The sequence below is a fragment of the Homo sapiens genome, chromosome 4 (genome assembly GCF_000001405.40).
Source record: "Homo sapiens chromosome 4, GRCh38.p14 Primary Assembly".
Lineage (NCBI taxonomy): Eukaryota > Metazoa > Chordata > Mammalia > Primates > Hominidae > Homo > Homo sapiens.
The window spans coordinates 71,082,807-71,107,290 of record NC_000004.12 but is presented as its reverse complement, the minus strand read 5'-3'; the positions used below and the strand labels follow the sequence as shown (position 1 = coordinate 71,107,290).

The 24,484-nt window shown below is 39.5% G+C and overlaps 1 protein-coding gene across 2 annotated transcripts in view; it reads right to left on the bottom strand.

Annotated features, from left to right (window-relative positions):
- The window catches only part of SLC4A4 (solute carrier family 4 member 4), a 509,424-nt gene that overhangs the window by 464,793 nt on the left and 20,147 nt on the right, over positions 1-24,484 (bottom strand). For both annotated transcript variants that reach the window (XM_024454268.2, NM_001440628.1), the window contains one exon: positions 14,499-14,561. In XM_024454268.2, the coding sequence (XP_024310036.1) occupies positions 14,499-14,512 (14 nt within the window). In that variant the 5' untranslated portion in view covers positions 14,513-14,561. The remainder of the gene's footprint in view (positions 1-14,498; positions 14,562-24,484) is intronic.

Sequence of the window (24,484 nt, the reverse complement as noted above, 5' to 3'; positions counted from 1 at the left end):
ATATAAGACATATAGAAAACAAGTAGCAAAATGGCATAAGTCCCTTCCTATTAATAATTCCTTAAAATATAAATGGATTAAATTCCCCAAAGACAGAGATTGGCAGAATGAATAAAAACACATGATCTAACTATATGCTATCTATATGCTATCTACAAGATAGATAACATATCTCACTTTAGATCCAAGGACACTAACAGATTGAAAGTTAAAGGATAAAAAAAATATTCCATGCAAGCAATAACCAATAGGGCATGGTGGCAATAATAATACAGACAGATAGACTTTATTTTTTTTTTAATTTCTCTGTATTTTTAGTCTCTTTACAGACTTTTTTTTCTTATTATTTATTTATTTATTTATTTTTATTATACTTTAAGTTTTAGGGTACATGTGCACACTGTGCAGGTTAGTTACATATGTATACATGTGCCATGCTGGTGTGCTGCACCCACTAACTCGTCATCTAGCATTAGGTATATCTCCCAATGCTATCCCTCCCCCCTCCCCCCACCCCACAACAGTCCCCAGAGTGTGATGTTCCCCTTCCTGTGTCCATGTGATCTCATTGTTCAATTCCCACCTATGAGTGAGAATATGCGGTGTTTGGTTTTTTGTTCTTGCAATAGTTTACTGAGAATGATGATTTCCAGTTTCATCCATGTCCCTACAAAGGACATGAACTCATCATTTTTTATGGCTGCATAGTATTCCATGGTGTATATGTGCCACATTTTCTTAATCCAGTCTATCATTGTTGGACATTTGGGTTGGTTCCAAGTCTTTGCTATTGTGAATAATGCCACAATAAACATATGTGTGCATGTGTCTTTATAGCAGCATGATTTATAGTCCTTTGGGTATATACCCAGTAATGGGATGGCTGGCTCAAATGGTATTTCTAGTTCTAGATCCCTGAGGAGTCGCCACACTGACTTCCACAACGGTTGAACTAGTTTACAATCCCACCAACAGTATAAAAGTGTTCCTATTTCTCCACATCCTCTCCAGCACCTGTTGTTTCCTGACTTTTTAATGATTGCCTTTCTAACTGGTGTGAGATGGTAGCTCATTGTGGTTTAGATTTGCATTTCTCTGATGGCCAGTGATGGTTAGCATTTTTTCATGTGTTTTTTGACTGCATAAATGTCTTCTTTTGAGAAGTGTCTGTTCATGTCCTTCGCCCACTTTTTGATGGGGTTGTTTGTTTTTTTCTTGTAAATTTGTTTGAGTTCATTGTAGATTCTGGATATTAGCCCTTTGTCAGATGAGTAGGTTGCGAAAATTTTCTCCCATTTTGTAGGTTGCCTGTTCACTCTGATGGTAGTTTCTTTTGCTGTGCAGAAGCTCTTTAGTTTAATTAGATCCCATTTGTCTATTTTGTCTTTTGTTGCCATTGCTTTTGGTGTTTTAGACATGAAGTCCTTGCCCATGCCTATGTCCTGAATGGTAATGCCTAGGTTTTCTTCTAGGGTTTTTATGGTTTTAGGTCTAATGTTTAAGTCTTTAATCCATCTTGAATTGATTTTTGTATAAGGTGTAAGGAAGGGATCCAGTTTCAGCTTTCTACATATGGCTAGCCAGTTTTCCCAGCACCATTTATTAAATAGGGAATCCTTTCCCCATTGCTTGTTTTTCTCAGGTTTGTCAAAGATCAGATAGTTGTAGATATGCGGCGTTATTTCTGAGGGCTCTGTTCTGTTCCATTGATCTATATCTCTGTTTTGGTACCAGTACCATGCTGTTTTGGTTACTGTAGCCTTGTAGTATAGTTTCAAGTCAGGTAGTGTGATGCCTCCAGCTTCGTTCTTTTGGCTTAGGAGTGCCTTGGCGATGCGGGCTCTTTTTTGGTTCCATATGAACTTTAAAGTAGTTTTTTCCAATTCTGTGAAGAAAGTCATTGGTAGCTTGATGGGGATGGCATTGAATCTATAAATTACCTTGGGCAGTATGGCCATTTTCACGATATTGATTCTTCCTACCCATGAGCATAGAATGTTCTTCCATTTGTTTGTATCCTCTTTTATTTCATTGAGCAGTGGTTTGTAGTTCTCCTTGAAGAGGTCCTTCACATCCCTTGTGAGTTGGATTCCTAGGTATTTTATTCTCTTTGAAGCAATTGTGAATGGGAGTTCACTCATGATTTGGCTCTCTGTCTGTCTGTTGTTGGTGTATAAGAATGCTTGTGATTTTTGCACATTGATTTTGTATCCTGAGACTTTGCTGAAGTTGCTTCAGCTTAAGGAGATTTTGGGCTGAGACAATGGGGTTTTCTAGATATACAATCATGTCATCTGCAAACAGGGACAGTTTGACTTCCTCTTTTCCTAATTGAATACCCTTTATTTCCTTCTCCTGCCTGATTGCCCTGGCCAGAACTTCCAACACTATGTTGAATAGGAGTGGTGAGAGAGGGCATCCCTGTCTTGTGCCAGTTTTCAAAGGGAATGCTTCCAGTTTTTGCCCATTTAGTATGATATTGGCTGTGGGTTTGTCATAGATAGCTCTTATTATTTTGAAATACGTCCCATCAATACCTAATTTATTGAGAGTTTTTAGCATGAAGGGTTGTTGAATTTTGTCAAAGGCCTTTTCTGCATCTATTGAGATAATCATGTGGTTTTTGTCTTTGGCTCTGTTTATATGCTGGATTACATTTATTGATTTGCATATATTGAACCAGCCTTGCATCCCAGGGATGAAGCCCACTTGATCATGGTGGACAAGCTTTTTGATGTGCTGCTGGATTCGTTTTGCCAGTATTTTATTGAGGATTTTTGCATCAATGTTCATCAAGGATATTGGTCTAAAATTCTCTTTTTTGGTTGTGTCTCTGCCCGGCTTTGGTATCAGAATGATGCTGGCCTCATAAAATGAGTTAGGGAGGATTCCCTCTTTTTCTATTGATTGGAATAGTTTCAGAAGGAATGGTACCAGTTCCTCCTTGTACCTCTGGTAGAATTCGGCTGTGAATCCATCTGGTCCTGGACTCTTTTTGGTTGGTAAGCTATTGATTATTGCCACAATTTCAGATCCTGTTATTGGTCTATTCAGAGATTCAACTTCTTCCTGGTTTAGTCTTGGGAGAGTGTATGTGTCAAGGAATTTATCCATTTCTTCTAGATTTTCTAGTTTATTTGCGTAGAGGTGTTTGTAGTATTCTCTGATGGTAGTTTGTATTTCTGTGGGATCGGTGGTGATATCCCCTTTATCATTTTTTATTGTGTCTATTTGATTCTTCTCTCTTTTTTTCTTTATTAGTCTTGCTAGCGGTCTATCAATTTTGTTGATCCTTTCAAAAAACCAGCTCCTGGATTCATTAATTTTTTGAAGGGTTTTTTGTGTCTCTATTTCCTTCAGTTCTGCTCTGATTTTAGTTATTTCTTGCCTTCTGCTAGCTTTTGAATGTGTTTGCTCTTGCTTTTCTAGTTCTTTTAATTGTGATGTTAGGGTGTCAATTTTGGATCTTTCCTGCTTTCTCTTGTGGGCATTTAGTGCTATAAATTTCCCTCTCCACACTGCTTTAAATGCATCCCAGAGATTCTGGTATGTTGTGTCTTTGTTCTCGTTGGTTTCAAAGAACATCTTTATTTCTGCCTTCATTTCGTTATGTATCCGGTAGTCATTCAGGAGCAGGTTGTTCAGTTTCCATGTAGTTGAGCGGTTTTGAGTGAGATTCTTAATTCTGAGTTCTAGTTTGATTGCACTGTGGTCTGAGAGATAGTTTGTTACAATCTCTGTTCTTTTACATTTGCTGAGGAGAGCTTTACTTCCAAGTATGTGGTCAATTTTGGAATAGGTGTGGTGTGGTGCTGAAAAAAATGTATATTCTGCTGATTTGGGGTGGAGAGTTCTGTAGATGTCTATTAGGTCTGCTTGGTGCAGAGCTGAGTTCAATTGCTGGGTATCCTTGTTGACTTTCTGTCTCGTTGATCTGTCTAATGTTGACAGTGGGATGTTAAAGTCTCCCATTATTAATGTGCGGGAGTCTAAGTCTCTTTGTAGGTCACTCAGGACTTGCTTTATGAATCTGGGTGCTCCTGTATTGGGTGCATATATATTTAGGATAGTTAGCTCTTCTTGTTGAATTGATCCCTTTACCATTATGTAATGGCCTTCTTTGTCTCTTTTGATCTTTGTTGGTTTAAAGTCTGTTTTATCAGAAACTAGGATTGCAACCCCTGCCTTTTTTTGTTTTCCATTTGCTTGGTAGATCTTCCTCCAACCTTTTATTTTGAGCCTATGTGTGTCTCTGCACGTGAGATGGGTTTCCTGAATACAGCACACTGATGGGTCTTGACTCTTTATCCAATTTGCCAGTCTGTGTCTTTTAATTGGAGCATTTAGTCCATTTACATTTAAAGTTAATATTGTTATGTGTGAATTGGATCCTGTCATTATGATGTTAGCTGGTTATTTTGCTCGTTAGTTGATGCAGTTTCTTCCTAGTCTCGATGGTCTTTACATTTTGGCATGATTTTGCAGCAGCTGGTACCGGTTGTTCCTTTCCATGTTTAGTGCTTCCTTCAGGAGCTCTTTTAGGGCAGGCCTGGTGGTGACAAAATCTCTCAGCATTTGCTTGTCTGTAAAGGATTTTATTTCTCCTTCACTTATGAAGCTTAGTTTGGCTGGATATGAAATTCTGGGTTGAAAATTCTTTTCTTTAAGAATGTTGAATATTGGCCCCCACTCTCTTCTGGCTTGTAGAGTTTCTGCCAAGAGATCAGCTGTTAGTCTGATGGGCTTTCCTTTGTGAGTAACCTGACCTTTCTCTCTGCCTGCCCTTAACATTTTTCCTTCATTTCAACTTTGGTGAATCTGACAATTATGTGTCTTGGAGTTGCTCTTCTCGAGGAGTATGTTTGTGGCGTTCTCTGTATTTCCTGAATCTGAACGTTGGCCTGCCTTGCTAGATTGGGGAAGTTCTCCTGGATAATATCCTGCAGAGTGTTTTCCAACTTGGTTCCATTCTCCCCATCACTTTCAGGTACACCAATCAGACGTAGATTTGGTCTTTTCACATAGTCCCATATTTCTTGGAGGCTTTGCTCATTTCTTTTTATTCTTTTTTCTCTAAACTTCCCTTCTCGCTTCATTTCATTCATTTCATCTTCCATTGCTGATACCCTTTCTTCCAGTTGATCGCATCTGCTCCTGAGGCTTCTGCATTCTTCACATAGTTCTTGAGCCTTGGTTTTCAGCTCCATCAGCTCCTTTAAGCACTTCTCTGTATTGGTTATTCTAGTTATACATTCTTCTAATTTTTTTTCAAAGTTTTCAACTTCTTTGCCTTTGGTTTGAATGTCCTCCCGTAGCTCAGAGTAATTTGATCGTCTGAAGCCTTCTTCTCTCAGCTCGCCAAAGTCATTCTCCATCCAGCTTTGTTCCATTGCTGGTGAGGAACTGCGTTCCTTTGGAGGAGGAGAGGCGTTCTGCGTTTTAGAGTTTCCCGTTTTTCTGTTCTGTTTTTTCCCCATCTTTGTGGTTTTATCTACTTTTGGTCTTTGATGATGGTGATGTACAGATGGGTTTTTGGTGTGGATGTCCTTTCTGTTTGTTAGTTTTCCTTCTAACAGACAGGACCTTCAGCTGCAGGTCTGTTGGAATACCCTGCCATGTGAGATGTCAGTGTGCCCCTGCTGGGGGTTGCCTCCCAGTTAGGCTGCTCGGGGGTCAGGGGTCAGGGACCCACCTGAGGAGGCAGTCTGCCCGTTCTCAGATCTCCAGCTGTGTGCTGGGAAAACCACTGCTCTCTGACAAATAGACTTTAAATCAAAGGATTTCAGTTTTGCAAGATGAAAAGAGTTCTGGAGGTAAATGGTGGTAATTATTACACAACAGTAAGAATATAATTAATATAATTGAACTCTTAAAAACTATTAAGATGTGAAGAATGTCATTTGTTTGAATGTCAATGTAGTTTGATAGGTACAGCATTGAATCTGTAAATTGCTTTGGGTAGTATGATCATTTTTATGATTTTAAGATTCTTATTAATGAGCATGGAATTTTTTTTGTTTTTTTGTTTTTTTGAGACGGAGTCTTGCACTGTTGCCCAGGCTGGAGTGCAGTGGCGCAATCTCAGCTCACTGCAAGCTCCACTTCTTGCGTTCAAGCCATTCTCCTGCCTCAGCCTCCCGAGTAGCTGGGACTACAGGCGCCCGCCACCATGCCTGGCTAATTTTTTGTACTTTTAGTAGAGATGGGGTTTCACCGTGTTAGCCAGGATGCTCTCAATCTCCTGACCTCGTGATCCACCTGCCTCAGCCTCCCAAAGTGCTGGGATTACAGGCGTGAGCCACCACGCCCAGCCGAGCATGGCATGTTTTTCCGTTTGACTGTGTCTTCTCTGATTTCTTTGAGCAGTGTTTTGTAATTCTCATTGCAGAAATCTTTCACCTCCCTGGTTAGTTATATTCCTAGGTATTTTATTCTTTTTGTGGCAATTGTGAATGGGACTGTCTTCCTCATTTGGCTCTCAGCTTAGCTGCTGGAGTATAGGAATGCTGGTGATTTTTGTACATTGATTTTGTATCCTAAAACTTTGCTGAAGTTGTTTATCACCTGAAGGAGCTTTTGGGGTGAGACTGTGGGGTTTTCTAGATACAGTATTATGCCATCTGCAAACAGGGACAGTTTGACTTCCTCTCTTTCTATTTGGATATCTTTTCTTTCTTTCTCTTGTCTGACTGCTCTGGGCAGACCTTACAATACTATGTTGAATAGATGTTGTGGGAAAGGGCATCCTTGTCTTGTGTCAGTTTTCAAGGGGGGTGCTTCCAGCTTTTGCCCATCCAGTATGATGTTGACTGTGGTTTGTCATATATGGCTCTTATTATTTTTAGGTAGTTTCCTTTAATACCTAGTTTATTGAGAATGAAGGAATGTTGAATTTTATTGAAAGCCTTTTCTGCATCTATTGAGATAATCATGTGTTTTTTTTTTGTCTTTAATTCTGTTTATGTGATGAATCACATTTATTGATTTGTGTATGTTGACCCAATCTTGCATCCTGGGTATGAAGTCTATTTGATCGTGATGGATTAGCTTTTTGATGTGCTGCTGGATTCGATTTGCAAGTATTTCATTGAGGATTTTGCATCTATATTCATCAAGGATATTGGTCTGAAGTTTTCTTTTTTTGTTGCATCTATGACAGATTTTGGTATCAGGATAATGCTGGCCTCATAGAATGAGTTGGGGAGGAGTCCATCCTCCTCAATTTTTTGGAATAGTTTCAGTAGGAATGATACCAGCCCTTCTTTGTATACCTGGTAGAATTCAGCTGTGAATCTCTCTGGTCCTGGGCTACTTTTGGTTGGTAGCCTACTTATTACTGATTCAATTTTGGAGCTCATTATTGGTCTCTTCAGGGAATCAGTTTCTTCCTGGTTCAGTCTTGGGAGGATATATGTAGCCAGGAATTTATCCATCTCTTCTAGGTTTTCTAGTTTGTGTGCATAGAGGTGTTTATAGTAGCTTCTGATGGTTACTTTTATTTCTGTGGGTCAGTGGTAAAATGCCCTTTGTCACACCCTTTGTCATTTCTAATTGTGTTTATTTGGATCGTCTCTCTTTTCTTCTTTATTTGTCTAGCTAATAGCCTATCAATCTCATTAATTTTTTTACAAAACCAACTCCTGGATTCATTGATCTTTTGAATGGTTTTTTGTGTCTCAATTTCCTTCAGTTCAGCTCTGATTTGGGTTATTTCTTGTCTTCTGCTAGCATTGGGGTTGGTTTGCTCTTACTTCTCTAATTCTTTCAGTTGTGATGTTAGGTTGCTAATTTGAGATGTTTCTAACTTTGAGATATGGATATTTAGTGCTATGAATTTCCCGCTTAACACTGCCTTAGCTGTGTTCCAGAGATTCTGGTATATTTGTTCTCATTAGTTTCAAAGAACGTCTTTATTTCTGCCTCAATTTTGTTATTTACCCAAAAGTCATTCAGCATGTTGCTTAATTTCCATGAAATTGCATGGTTTTCAGCATGTTTTTAGTCTTGACTTCTATTTTTATCACACTATGGTCCAAAAGTATGTTTGGTGTGATTTCAGTTCTTTTGCATTTGCTGAGGATTGTTTTATGTCCAATCATGTGTTTGATTTTAGAGTATGTGACAATGAGAAGAATGTATATTCTGTTGTTTAGGGGTGGAGAGTTCTGTAGAGATCTATCAGATCCATTTGGTCCAATGTTGAGTTCAGATCCTGAATATTTTTGTTAATGTTCTGCGTCAATGATCTATCTAATACTGTCAGTAGAGTATTGAAGTCTCCCACTATTATTGTGTGGGAGTCTAAGTTTCTTTGTAGGTCTCCAAGAACTTGCTTTATAAATCTGAGTGCTCCTGTGTTGGGTGCATATGTGTTTAGGGTAGTAAGGTTTTCTTGTTGAATTACCCTTTACCATTATGTAATACCCTTGTTTCTCTTTTTTGATCTTTGTTTAAAGTCTGTTTTGTCTGAAATTAGTACTGCAACCCCTGCTTTTTTCTGATTTTGATTTGCTTGGTAGATTTTCCTCCATCCCTTTATTTTGAACCTATAGTTGTCATTACATGTGGAATGGGCCTCTTGAAGACAACCCACCATTGGGTCTTGCTTTTTATCTAGCTTGCCACTATGCACAATTTAAGTGGGACATTTAATGCGTTCATATTCAAGGTTAGTATTGGTGTATGTGATTTTATTCCATCATTGTATTGTTAGCTGGTTATTATGCCAGTTTCTTTTTGTGGAAAAAACTATTTTAAAATTCACATGAAACCAAAAAAGAATCTGAATAGCCAAGGCAATCCTAAGCAAAAAGAACAAAGCTGGAGGCATCATGCTACCTGACTTCAAACTACACTACAAGTCTACAGTAACCAAAACAGCATGGTACTGACACAAAAACAGACATGTAGACTGATGGAACAGAATAGACAGCCTAGAAATAAGACCACACACCTATGATCATTTGATCTTCAACAAATCTGACAAAAGCAAGCAACGGGGAAAGGGCTACCTATTTAATAAAATGGTGCTGGGATAACTGGCTAGCCATATGTAGAAGATTGAAACTGGACCCTTTCCTTACACCATACACAAAAATCAACTCAGGATGAATTAAAAACTTAAATGTAAAACACAAAACTATAAAAACTCTGGAAGACAACCTAGGTAATACCATTCTGGACATAGGAACAGGCAAATACTTCATGACAAAGATGCCAGAAGCCATCACAACAAAAGCACAAATTGACAAATGTGATCCAATTAAACACGAGCTTCTGCACAGCAAAAGAAACTATAAACTATCAACAGAGTAAACAAACAACCTACAGAGTGGGAGAAAATATTTGCAAACTATGCATCTGACAAAGGTCTAATATCCAGCATCTACAAGAAAGAAACAAATATACGAGAAAAACTTCAATCCCATGAAAAAGTGGGCAAAGGACATGAACAGAGACCTCAAAAGAAGACATGCATGTCGCCAACAATCCTATGAAAAAAAGCTCTATGTCACTAATTGTTAGAAAAATGCAAACCAAAACCACAATGAAATACCACCTTACACCAATCAGAATGGTTATTATTAAAAAGTCAAAAAAATAACAGACGCTGATGAAATTGCGGAGAAAAGGGAACACTTATACACTGTTAGTGGGAGTGTAAATTAGTTCAACCATTGTGGAAAGCAGTGTGGTGATTCCTTAAAAAGCTAAAAACAGAACTACCATTCAACCCAGCAATCTCATCAATGGGTATATACCCAGAGAAATATAAATTATTCTACCATAAAGACACACACATGCAAATGTTTATTGCAGCACTATTCACAATAGCAAAGACATAGAATCAACCTAAATGCACATCAGTGACAGATGGGTAAAGAAAATGTGGTATATATACACCATGGAATACTATGCAGCAACAGAAAAGAACGAGATCATGTCTTTTGTGGGAACATGGGTGGATCTGGAGGCCATTATCATTGGCAAACTAACCCAGGAACAAAAACACCAAATACCACGTGTCCTCACTTGTAACTGGGAGCTAAATGAGGAGCACTCATGAACACAAAGAGGGAAACAACAGACACTGGGACCTACTTAAGGGTGGATGATGGGAGGAGGGAGAGGAACACAAAAAGTAACTATTGGGTTCTAGGCCTCGTACCTGGGTGATGAAATAATCTGTACAAAAAACCCCCATGACATGAGTTGGCCTATATAGCAAACCTGTAAATGTACCCCTAAACCTAAAACAAACAAACAAAAAGGTTAAGATGGCAAATTTTATGTTATATGTATTTTGTCACAATAAAAATGTGAACAAAAATGTAAGTTTATAGTTATACAATCCACTAATTCATAAAAGAACTCAGCTTTTTTGGAGGTGATGATTATGTTCGCAGAGACAGTAAGATGATTTCCATTGCAATTTATTAAAACAAGGTAGACAAAAGATCCAACGACAATGCCTTGTCCCTAAATCCAGTGGACTCATTTCAGTCCTTATCTTGACTGACTTCTCAGCCACACTTAACATTATTCATTGTTCCTTCTTTCTAGATGAACAAAATATCAAACTTAGAAAAATAAGACTTCTAAATATAAATTCCACAGTGTCCTGTCAGCCATATTGGAACTCGCAGCAAAAAGAAAATTCAGTAATTCGGATCCCATTTTTATTTAAAATGTGATGTTTTGTTCATCATGGATTTTTTGCACTAACGATTTTTTTAAATATTGCATTAAAATAACATTTATCTCAATTACTGAGTTTTTTGGCACCTTTTTAAATTTTGTGCCCGAGGCAAGCCCCAGTCCTGAAAAATTCTCTCCTTTCACTTCTGCGATTCACCGTCTTTTTCTGAACTGTCCTTCTCATCTTCTTTGCAGTGCTTCTCTGCCTGTCAACTAAATGTCAGTGTTTTTCAGTGTTCTGTTTTGGGTCTTCTCTCCTTTCTCTATACATACCGTCTGGGTTACCCTAGCTACTACTGTATTCTATTGATTCCCAAATTGCTTCCTCCCCCCTTTAGCCTCCAGCCACCCTATGCAGAGAATTTAACCCTAAACTAACCTTATTTTCTACCTTTGTGAGTCAGTCAATCCTTGTTCCTATGATGCATTTCCAGAGGCATACTTCCCACCTCCCAGTGAAGTACTTCCTCCTGCCAAAATTTAAACTGTCCCACCAAAACCCTCTCCCGGCCTTCCTCATGCCTGCCTATATCCTAGAGTGCAGGAAGGGAGAAAAGGAGACAAAAATCCTCCAGGCCTTCCATTTTACCCTTCTCTCCACTTTACCCTCCAATTGCTCAAATGTGTAAAAATCTCTCTCACTTTCATACATGCTGTCTTCTCTATCTGGAATCTTTATTTTATAAGCAAACTTCTACTCATCCTTCAGGTCTCAGACTACATATCCCTTCCAGAGAGACTTTCTCTGACCTTCAGATTATCTTAGGTTCCCCTCCTATGTATACCTACAGAACTCTGCAATTTCTCTTTTATAGCCCTCATTATACATTATTATAACTAGTTTCATTTTCATTTTCCATACTAGGCCATAAGCTCTATGACAGTAGGAGCCATACCCTTCTTGTTCACTATTATATATATCCAGCCCTAACATAGTACCTAGACCTTATCAGTCACTGAAGAAGTATTAATAATTATAGGAGGGAGGGAGGGAAGTCAGCAAAAATCAAACACCATCTAAACAGAACCTATGCAGGCAATGCGCAGTTGAGCAAATGAGCAAAACGCAGCAGATGCAAAGATCACAAAGCCCACCCATTGTCAGGAAGCAGCTAATTAGAAAGTCCTACATTTTCTTAATCCTGGAGCAAACTCTTTTGCTAAATAATCAGAACTCCCCACCCTGGTGCTGTCCATATAAAAGGGAGAGCACAGTCCATTTGTTGTCTTGGCTGTCCTGGGGCCTCTGAACATCTTGGCAGACCCTGCAGGGCCATCTGTCCTTTAGCCTCCCTCCTGAAACTCATCTCTGCTCTTATGTGATCAAATGCTCTCCCCATTGATCTTTTCCAGGATATAGGGTTTTACTTACAGTTTTCTAGGTACTGCATTTCACCAAAGAGTGGTAGAGAATGGCTTCACGTAGAAGTAGGGAAAGAGATTCAAGTTTTCCAAATCCCAAATGCTTACCATGAAAAGTTTAGAATCCTTTTTCAACATAGTGCTCTCTGAAAAGATTATGCTGATTAAACAGTATGCTCCTGTTGTATAGTGTTTAAAACTAACACATATGGTTTTACTGATCATCAGTTTTACTGATCAACAATTTGAAAGAAGTCTAATTCCATAAGTTAAAAAAGTACACCTAATTAATTAATGCCTAACTTTTAGCCTGTTCATTGAAAACTGATGTGTATATATATAACAAAAATCAACAGACTCCCCCTGGAAAATATAGAGCTTGGCTCTGAAGCTTCACTGAAGACTGCAGGAGAAGACAGAGAGACCTTTCTTGTCCTGGAAAAATGAGGACTCGTGAACCACACACATACTTTAACACAAAACATCCAGCTTCTGGTAATCCCCCAAAAGTGTGAAATGGTATATTTTTTAAAAAACAAGGAATAGAGAACTTTATTAGCCATACTGCATGTGGCTAATATTTCCTGTTAACATATTGGGATTTGTCAAAGAAAATCCTAGAGCTTCCCCTAACTACATATCCTTACATCTACCAGCTGAGACTCACAAAGCTAATAAACCTCACCAGCAAATTAGCATTACCTATAAAAGTACTGCAGCCTTAAATATTACAACATGGTAGAGCTGAATGTAAATCTCCTTGAAAGTATTTTTCCTGTATCACAATAAGCAGGAGGCCTATTTATAATGTAATGCCAAAAATAGACACACAGTGCTTAGTATTTGGAAAAGGATCTGTACATGCCACTCTACTCTGGAGAAGCTCTTAGAAGTACTTTTCCAATACATTTTCCCTGGAATCTCTCTCTCTCTGATCATCAATATGTGAGCCATAGGTGATTTGAACCAGGCAGGACAAGACACCCTGATGAAACAAAACTTGATATTGTCAAAAGATAAAACTCCCTTGAAGATGACCACTACATTTTATGACTGTATGCCACTCGTGGCTTACCATGCCATATCCTCATATTTTCTTCTAATCAGAAATTCATAAGGGAAATCTGTGTACCAAAATGTTTAATAAGGGACATATTTTAGATTTTTTTCCCACAGAGGACAGGGTTACCAGCCCCTAGCACTTTTTTTTTTAACAGTCTGGCTGATAATCTGGTGCCAACACCAACTGCTGGTTAAATAATCTCATCAGCCAGGGTGAGGCTTTTTGTTCTCCTGCTTTTGTGACTTCATTTTTCGAACATTTAAAGTTGCCAACAATCCCAAATGGTGTCTCATTACTTCTCTCCAGTTTGTTTCTATTTGAAGATAAAAACTATTTTATTTGGAGCAAATTATAATAGGATGCAAAATGACCCACCATTGTAAGACCAACAAATAGGTAGGTCCCTATAATGGTTTGAAAAGAAAAACTTTAATATCAAGACACAAAGGGGGAAAATGCATCTCCACGCTCATTTTTCACCTATTTTACCAACAACAACAATAGCAATCATTTATTGAGTACCCACCAGTATCACAAGAAGAACTCTGGGAGTTTAAATTGCTGAAGCTAAACTTAGGCAGTTTATCAATTCAAAACAAGTCAGGATATTCACTTACAGAACAAAAAGGTTTTTCTATCCCTAACTATTTATGATTTAAATCTTTTTTTCTTAAAGTAAAGACAGAAAGGAGGTAAAAATAGGCCAATGCAGTGGCTCACGCCTGTAATCCCCGCACTTTGAGAAGCCGAGACAGGCAGATCACTTGAGGTCAGGAGTTCAAGACCAGCCTGGCCAACATGGTGAAACCCTGTCTCTACTGAAAATACAAAAATTAGCTGGGAATGGTGGTGCATGCCTGTAGTCCCAGCTACTCGGGAGGCTGAGGCAGGAGAATTGCTTGAACCTGGGAGGTAGAGATTGCAGTGAGCCAAGATGACGCCAGTGCACTCCAGCCTGGTGATAGAGCAAGACTCTGTCTCAAGAAAAAGGAAAAAAAGAAAAGAAAAAACAAAAGAGGTCAAAATACAAGACTGGTTTTTGCCATATATGACTTTATTTTATTTTTATTTTTGAGACAAAGTCTCACTCTGTTACCCAGGCTGGAGTGCAGTGGCGTGATCTCGGTTCACTGCAACCTCCGCCTCCTGAGTTCAAGTGATTCTCCTGCCTCAGCCTCCCGAGTAGCTGGGACTACAGGCGCACGCCACCACGCCCAGCTAATTTTTGTATTTTTAGTAGAGATGGGGTTTCACCATGTTGGCCAGGGTGGTCGTGATCTCTTGACCTTGTGATCTGCCAGCCTCGGCCTCCCAAAGTGCTGGGATTACAGGCGTGAGCCACTGTACCCGGCCCATATATGACTTTCTTACTTACAATAGGTCAAGCATCAGTGCTCAGGTTTATAGCCAGAAGAAGTTACAACACAATTATGGGTATCTGTAAAAAGAAAAATAACAATTACTTGATGTATCTCAAATAATACAAAAACTCTTAGTGATAGTATGATACCTCAAATTACCTAAACCCATGTAAGAATCTCTTCTTCTTGCCCTCCTTTCAGGTTCTATTCTCAGCATTCTGTTTTTAGGTTTTTGCAGTGTTTTTTCTGATGTAACATGACGTGCAAATTCCCAGTAACCCCCAAAATACTTAAAATCAAATATTTCTTCCTAGAAAATGTATAGGAAACTGTCTCGACAAATATCTCCTTATGAACTTCTATAAATTTATCTACTAATTCTTACTAGGGTTTGGAATATGTAAATATCAATATTCATTTTTAAAATATCTGTCAACATGAAAAAGTTTGTATAAGAAAATGTAGGAAAAATAGAATCCTAGTGAAATATAAAAAGAGAGAAATCTATTGAAATCCATCAACCATATGAATTTTACTTCTCTAAGTTAAGAGAAGCTTCTACTTAAAATGAGCTTTAGAATAGAAATTGCAGTCCAGTGATCCTTACTGAACAGTTTGCCAGTTCCTGTTTACATGTTTACATTATCTTGCATCCCTTAATAAAAGTCATCTTTATATTGCCTTACTGAGTTACATACTTACTGAGTAGTAACTATGAGTAGTAACTCTATGTGTTACTAGTCTGGTAACACAGAGTCTGGTACTTGATACCACAAAGGATAAAACTCCCTTGAAGATGGCCACTACATTTTATTACTGCATGCCACTCTTGGCTTACATAGAATGTTACTACTCCGTAAGGCAATATAGTTCCAACACAGTTCTCAAAGATTTAATATGCAGGAAAAAATGCAGTAAAAAAGAACAAACGCAGTTTTTAAAAATGTTTTGTTGTTATTACAGATACTGTTATATTTGGGAGAGAGACGGCTTTGCAGAATACATGCAGTTTTGCAAAATGAGTACAAAACTAGTCTTAGGAGCCAGATCCTAATAGGGACATGTAGTATTTCCCAAAGATGGGATCTCTTTATTTTCTGTCCCTGTGAAAGAAGTTAAATTTTCAGAATGTCCATAGAAACGCTGATTGTGAGTAGACTATGACCCATTGCTGGCTACCCGAGAATTTTGGACTTAACCAATACCACCTCCTCAGTTCATCCACAGGATTAATCTAAAAATATTTCCTGGCCAGGCCGGGTGCAGTGGCTCACGCCTGTAATCCCAGCACTTTGGGAGGCCGAGACAAGCAGATCATGAGGTCAGGAGATCGAGACCACCATGGCTAACACAGTGAAACCTCGTCTCTACTAAAAATACAAAAAAATTAGCCAAGCGTGGTGGCGGGTGCCTGTAGTCCCAGCTACTCGGGAGGTTGAGGCAGGAGAATGGCGTGAACCCGGAATGCGGAGCTTGCAGTGAGCCAAGATCATGCCACTGCACTCCAGCCCGGGCAACAAAGCAAGACTCCGGCTCAAAAAAAAAAAAAAAAATTTCAAGGCCAGGCACAGTGGCTCACGCCTGTAAACCCAATGCTTTGAAAGGCCAAGGTGGGTGGATCACCTGAGGCCAGGAGTTCAAGACCAGCCTGGCCAACATGGTGAAACCTCATCTCTACTAAAAATACAAAAATAAGCTGAGTATGGTGGTGCGCAACTGTAATCTCAGCTACTCAGGAGGCTGAGGCAGGAGAATCACTTGAACTCAGGAGGCAGAGGTTACAGGCAGCTGAGATTGTACCACTGCACTCCAGACTGGGCCACAGGGGAAGACTGTTTCAAAAAAAAGAAAAGAAAAACAAACAAACAAAAATGTCCTCAACATGAACGACCTTCTGTGTGAATTCTCCTTGTATTCAGTACCCTTATTTGGCCCAACTTCCTTCTGCATCCCTGGCTACAATCATCACAGTTACTGTTTTGTCTTAGTAGAGCCATTTGAAACAGCCTTTCTCTGAACAACTCTGACTAATTGTTTCACAATAATTTCGGAAGAAAAAGTCACTCTGAAGAGGTTCCCATTCTACCTTTAGCATTTTTCCCAGCAAAGAACAACCCTTGTTTCTTTCAATTGCATCCGTGTATTTTGGCTGCATGCCTACAAAGAGCAGTAATACAAAACAGTTTTTCTAAGAATGAAGATGGAGTCACTAAAATCTTGCAGGCCACAAAGTCTCCCCTTCCCAAACTGATAGCCTCTCACTCCCTTTATCTTAACACATACATTTTTATTTCTTAATAAAAACTGTTACCCAGCATGAACGATGCAGAAGACGGGTGATTTCTGCATTTCCAACCGAGGTACCAGGTTCATCTCACTGGGGAGTGTCAGAAAGTGGGTGCAGGACAGTGGGTGCAGTGCACCGAGCATGAGCCGAAGCAGGGTGAGGCATTGCCTCACCTGGGAAGCACAAGGGGTCAGGGAATTCCCTTTCCTAGTCAAAGAAAGGGGTGACAGATGACACCTGGAAAATTGGGTCACTCCCACCCTAATACTGCACTTTTCCAATGGTCTTAGCAAATGGCACACCAGGAGATTATATCCCACACCTGGCCCAGAGGGTCCTACACCCACGGAGCCTCGCTCATTGCTAGCACAGCAGTCTGAGATCAAACTGCAAGGTGGCAGCGAGGCTGGGGGAGTGGCGCCCGCCATTGCTAAGGCTTGAGTAGGTAAACAAACTGGCGAGGAAGCTCGAACTGGGTGGAGCCCACCACAGCTCCAGGAGGCCTGCCTGCCTCTGTAGACTCCACCTCTGGGGGCAGGGCATAGCCAAACAAAAGGCAACAGAATTCTCTGCAGACTTAAATGCCCTTTTCTGACAGCTTTGAAGAGAGTAGTGGTTCTCCCAGCACACAGCTGGAGATCTGAGAACAGACAAACTGCCTCCTCAAGTGGGTTCCTGACCCCTGAGTAGCCTAATTGGGAGCACCCCCCAGTAGGGGCAGACTGACACCTCACATGGCCGGGTACTCCTCTGAGACAAAATTTCCAGACGAACGATCAGGCAGCAACATTTGCTCTTCACCAATATCCACTGTTCTGCAGCCTCCGCTGCAGATACCTAGGCAAACAGGGTCTGTATTGGACCTCCAGCAAACTCCAAAAGACCTGCACCTGAGGGTCCTGACTGTTAGAAGGAAAACTAACAAACAGAAAGGACATCCACGCCAAAACACCATCTGTACGTCACCATCATCAAAGACCAAAGGTAGATAAAACCACAAAGATGGGGAAAAAACAGAGCAGAAAAACTGGAAACTCTAAAAATCAGAGCGCCTCTCCTCCTCCAAAGGAACACAGCTCCTCACCAGCAATGGAACAAAGCTGGACAGAGAATGACTTTGACGAGTTGAGAGAAGAAGGCTTCAGACAATCAAACTACACCAAGCTAAAGGAGGAAGTTCGAACCCATGGCAAAGAAGTTAAAAACCTTGAAAAAAAATTAGACAAATGGCCAACTAGAATAACCAATGCAGAGAAGTCTTTAAAGGACCTGATGGAGCTGAAAACCATGGCACAAAACTATGTGACGAATGCACAACCCTCAGTAGCCGATCGATCACCTGGAAGAAAGGGTATCAGTGATGCAAGATCAAATGAATGAAATGAAGTGAGAAGTTTAGAGAAAAAAGAATAAAAGGAAATGAAGAAAGCCTCCAAGAAATATGGGACTATGTGAAAAGACCAAATCTACCTCTGACTGGTGTACCGAAAGTGACAGACAGAATGGAACCAAGTTGGAAAACATTCTGCAGGATATTGTCTATGAGAACTTCCCCAATCTAGCAAGGCAGGTCAACATTCAAATTCAGGAAATACAAAGAATGCCACAAAGATACTCCTCAAGAAGAGCAACTCCAAGCCACATAATTGTCAGATTCACCAAAGTTGAAATGAAGGAAAAAATGTTAAGGGCAGCCAGAGAGAAAGGTCGGGTTACCCACAAAGGAAAGCCCATCAGACTAACAGCTGATCTCTCGGCAGAAACTTCACAAGCCAGAAGAGAGTGGGGGCCAATATTCAACATTCTTAAAGAAAAGAATTTTCACCCCAGAATTTCATATCCAGCCAAACTAAGCTTCATAAGTGAAGGAGAAATAAAATCCTTTACAGACAAGCAAATACTGAGAGATTTTGTCACCACCAAGTCTGCCCAAAAAGAGCTCCTGAAGGAAGCACTAAACATGGAAAGGAACAACTGGTACCAGCCACTGCAAAAACATGCCAAATTGTAAAGACCATTAAGGCTAGGAAGAAACTGCATCAACTAACGAGCAAAATAACCAGCTAACATCATGATGACAGGATCCAATTCACACATAACAATATTAACCTTAAATGTAAATGGGCTAAATGCTCCAATTAAAAGACACAGACTGGCAAATTGGATAAAGAGTCAAGACCCATCAGTGTGCTATATTCAGGAAACCCACCTCAGGTGCAGAGACACACATAGGCTCAAAATAAAGGGATGGAGGAAGATCTACCAAGCAAATGGAAAAAAAAAAAGGCAGGTATTGCAATCCGAGTCTCTGATAAAACAGACTTTAAGCCATCAAAGATCAAAAGAGACAAAGAAGGTCATTACATAATGGTAAAGGGATCAATTCAACAAGAAAAGCTAACTATCCTAAATATATATGCACCCAATACAGGAGAACCCAGATTCATAAAGCAAGTCCTTAGAGACCTACAAAGAGACTTAGACTCCCACACAATAATAATGGGAGATTTTAACACCCCACTGTCAACATTAGACAGATGAATGAGACAGAAAGTTAACAAGGATATCCAGGAATTGAACTCAGCTCTGCACCAAGCAGACCTAATAGACATCTACAGAACTCTCCACCCCAAATCAACAGAATATACATTCTTCTCAGCACCACACCACACCTATTCCAAAACTGACCACATAGTTGGAAGTAAAGCACTCCTCAGCAAATGTAAAAGAGTAGAAATTATAACAAACAGTCTCTCAGACCACAGTGCAATCGAACTAGAACTCAGGATTAAGAAACTTGCTCAAAACCGCTCAACTACATGGAAACTGAACAACCTGCTCCTGAATGACTACTGGGTACATAACAAAATGAAGGCAGAAATAAAGATGTTCTTTGAAACCAATGAGAACAAAGACACAACATACCAGAATCTCTGGGACACATTCAAAGCAGTGTGTAGGGGGAAATTTATAGCACTAAATGCCCACTAGAGAAAGCAGGAAAGATCTAAAATTGACACCCTAACATCACAAATAAAAGAACTAGAGAAGCAAGAGTAAACACATTCCAAAGCTAGCAGAAGGCAAGAAATAACTAAGATCAGAGCAGAACTGAAGGAGATAGAGACACAAAAAACCCTTCAAAAAATCAATGAATCCAGGAGCTGGTTTTTTGAAAAGATCAACAAAATTGATAGACTGCTAGCAAGACTAATAAAGAAAAAAGAGAGAAGACTCAAATAGATGCAAAAAAAAATGATAAAGGGGATATCACCACTGATCCCACAGAAATACAAACTACCATCAGAGAATACTGTAAACACCTCTATGCAAATAAACTAGAAAATCTAGAAGAAATGGATACATTCCTCGATACATACACCCTCCCAAGACTAAACCAGGAAGAAGTTGAATCTCTGAAAAGAACAATAACAGGCTCTGATATTGAGGCACTAATTAATAGCTTACCAACCAAAAAAAGTCCAGGACCAGATGGATTCGCAGCCGAATTCTACCAGAGGTACAAGAAGGAGCTGGTACCATTCCTTCTGAAACTATTCCAATCAATAGAAAAAGAGGGAATCCTCCCTAACTCATTTTGTGAGGCCAGCACCATCCTGATACCAAAGCCTGGCAGAGACACAACAAAAAAAGAGAATTTTAGACCAATATCCCTGATGAACATCGATGCAAAAATCCTCAATAAAATACTGGCAAACCGAATCCAGCAGCCCATCAAGAAGCTTATCTACCACGATCAAGTGGGCTTTATCCCTGGGATGCAAGGCTGGTTCAACATATGCAAATCAATAAACATAATCCAGCATATAAACAGAACCAAAGACAAAAACCATACGATTATCTCAATAGATGCAGAAAATGCCTTTGACAAAATTCAACAACCCTTCATGCTAAAAACTCTCAATAAATTAGGTATTGATGGGACATATCTCAAAATAATAAGAGCTATCTATGATAAACCCACAGCCAATATCACACTGAATGGGCAAAAACTGGAAACATTCCCTTTGAAAACTGGCACAAGACACGGATGACCTCTCTCACCACTCCTATTCAACATAGTGTTGGAAGTTCTGGCCAGGGCAATCAGGCAGGAGAAAGAAATAAAGGGTATTCAATTAGGAAAAGAGGAAGTCAAATTGTCCCTGTTTGCAGATGACATGATTGTATTTCTAGAAAACCCCATCGTCTTAGCCCAAAATCTCCTTAAGCTGATAAGCAACTTCAGCAAAGTCTCAGGATACAAAATCAATATGCAAAAATCACAAGCATTCTTATACACCAATAACAGACAAACAGAGAGCCAAATCATGAGTGAACTCCCATTCACAATTGCTTCAAAGAGAATAAAATACCTAGGAATCCAACTTACAAGGGACGTGAAGGACCTCTTCAAGGAGAACTACAAACCACTGCTCAAGGAAATAAAAGAGGATACAAACAAATGGAAGAACATTCTATGCTCATGGGTAGGAAGAATCAATATCGTGAAAATGGCCATACTGCCCAAGGTCATTTATAGATTCAATGCCATCCCCATCAAGCTACCAAAGACTTTCTTCACAGAATTGGAAAAAACTACTTTAAAGTTCATATGGAACCAAAAAAGAGCCCACATTGCCAAGTCAATCCTAAGCTAAAAGAACAAAGCTGGAGGCATCACGCTACCTGACTTTGAACTATACTACAAGGCTACAGTAACCAAAACAGCATGGTATTGGTACCAAAACAGATATAGACCAATGGAACAGAACAGAGCCCTCAGAAATAATGCCGCAAATCTACAACTATCTGATCTTTGACAAACCTGACAAAAACAAGCAATGGGGAAAGGATTCCCTATTTAATAAATGGTGCTGGAAAAACTGGCTAGCCATATGTAGAAAGCTGAAACTAGATCCCTTCCTTACCCCTTATACAAAAATTAATTCAAGTTGGATTAAAGACTTAAATGTCAGACCTAAAACCATAAAAACCCTAGAAGAAAACCTAGGCAATACCATTCAGTACATAGGCATGGGCAAGGACTTCATGACTAAAACACCAAAAGCAATGGCAACAAAAGCCAACATTGACAAATGGGATCTAATTAAACTCAAGAGCTTCTGCACAGCAAAAGAAACTACCATCAGAGTGAACAGGCAACCTACAGAATGGGAGAAAATTTTTGCAACCCACTCATCTGACAAAGGGCTAATATCCAGAATCTACAATGAACTCAAACAAATTTACAAGAAAAAAACAAACAAACCCATCAAAAAGTGGGCGAAGGATATGAACAGACACTTTTCAAAAGAAGACATTTATGCAGCCAAAAGACACATGAAAAAATGCTCATCTTCACTGGCCAACAGAGAAATGCAAATCAAAACCACAATGAGATACCATCTCACACCAGTTAGAATGGCAATCATTAAAAAGTCAGGAAACAACAGGTGCTGGAGAGGATGTGGAGAAATGGGAACACTTTTACACTGTTGGTGGGACTGTAAACTAGTTCAACCATTGTGGAAGTTAGTGTGGCGATTCCTCAGGGATCTATAGCAAGCAATGCCATTTGACCTAGCAATCCCATTACTGGGTATATACCCAAAGGATTATAAATCATGCTGCTAGAGAGACACATGCACAGGTATGTTTATTGTGGCACTATTCACAATAGCAAAGACTTGGAACCAACCCAAATGTCCATCAATAGTAGACTGGATTAAGAAAATGTGGCACATATACACCATGGAATACTACGCAGCCATAAAAAAAGGTGAGTTCGTGTCCTTTGTAGGGACATGGATGAAGCTGGAAACCATCATTCTCAGCAAACTATCGCAAGGACAAAAAACCAAACACCGCATGTTCTTACTCAGAGGTGGGAATTGAACAATGAGAACACATGGACACAGGAAGGGGAACATCACACACCGGGGCCTGTTGTGCAGTGGGGGCAGGGGGGAGGGATAGCATTAGGAGATATACCTAATGTTAAATGACGAGTTAATGGGTGCAGCACACCAACATGGCACATGTATACATATGTAACTAACCTGCACATTGTGCCCATGTACCCTAAAACTTAAAGTATAATAAAAAAGAAAATAAAATACAATTTAAAAAACTGTCATTTGGTGTGGGTTTAAATGGGAGTTGAATAGGTTCGTGGAGGTTGCAGATAAGTTGAAACATACATATGAAAAGACCATTTAAAATTGTGTTTAATGTAGTGAAATAATTCAAGTTATTATTATAGACTATACTTCAAGGCGATCTTTACATCCGATTATTAATAATGCTCTTAGAAGATGTTAAGATATTGAACAATTCCCTTGAATTAATATCGAATCCTCAACACATCAAAAAGTCCATCTTGCCTTTGAAGCAGGAGTGAGATGGTCTTCCATATAAGCTCATGGTTATAAGAGCTTTGTAGCTAGTCCCTCCTCATCCCTTTTTGAACACACATAAATGCACACACACAGAGACAGAGAGAGAGAGAGAGAGAGACAGCTCCAGCCAAGAGGCAGAAGTAGATCTTACATAGATCCCACTACCAAAATAGAAGTGTCTGCATTCAGCTAAGCGAATAACCATAACAAAGATGAGCAGAATGCTTACCATGTGCCAGGCAATGCACTACAAGTTCTATATGAATTATTTCATTTAACCCTCAAAACAACTCCATAAACTATCCATTAGGACTTTGAGACTGGTGGGGGCGGGGGGCGGGGATTAAAATGTTTAGAGAAAAATTCAAGCAACTAGAACGGAGTGAAGCTGGAATTCAAGCATGGATTGTCTTACCCCAGAGCCCCATGCTCTTGCTGTCCCAGGCACAGCATCTCCACCAACCTCATATCAACCCTTAGAGCATCTTCAGGTCATCGTTTCAGGGCTCATAACTTTGGAGTCTGTTCTTGTCCTTTAGCTGCCCTGTCTGTCACTTCAGGTATCAGTTTATTTCATTCAACATTGGAGACAAATAAGGTAAGACAGCTTCTGTTTTACCTTAATAATCAGAATCAGGAAGGAGTAATGAAATTTTTCAGAGGTAATAAGGCAAGAGTTGGAAGAGTAGGAAAAAAGGGAATTTAAAGTAGCTATTGGCCCCATCAATTGAGAAATGAGTAGAGTCTCAAATATAATCTCTACAGTAGTTTAAATGAATGAATTACATCTAATGTATGAACATGGAAAAAAAACTAAAAAACTTAAGTTTAAATGAAAAAAAAAACAAGTTGGAAAATGTGATGCACTGAATGCTATCATACATTTAAATTTTAAACCCATAAAATAATATTAAATAATTATTTGGGCATATGCACTTATATAAAATGTATTAAAACATTTATGGGGGCTGAGCATGGTGGCTCACGCCTGCAATCCCAGCACTTTGGGAGGCCGAGGCAGGTGGATCACCTGAGGTCAAGAGTTGAAGACCAACCTGGCCAACATGGTGAAGCCCCGTCTCTACTAAAATACAAAAATTATCTGGGCATGGTGGCATGCGCCTGTAATCCCAGCTACTTGGGAGGCTGAGGCACAAGAACTCCTTAAGCCTGGGAGGCGGAGGTTACAGTGAGCCGCGATCCTGTGACTGCACTCCAGTCTGGGTGACAGAGCTAGACTCTGTCTCCAACAAAAAAAAAAAAAAGAAAATTATGGGAAGAAAAAAATCCTTACTTCAGGAATGAATGATTA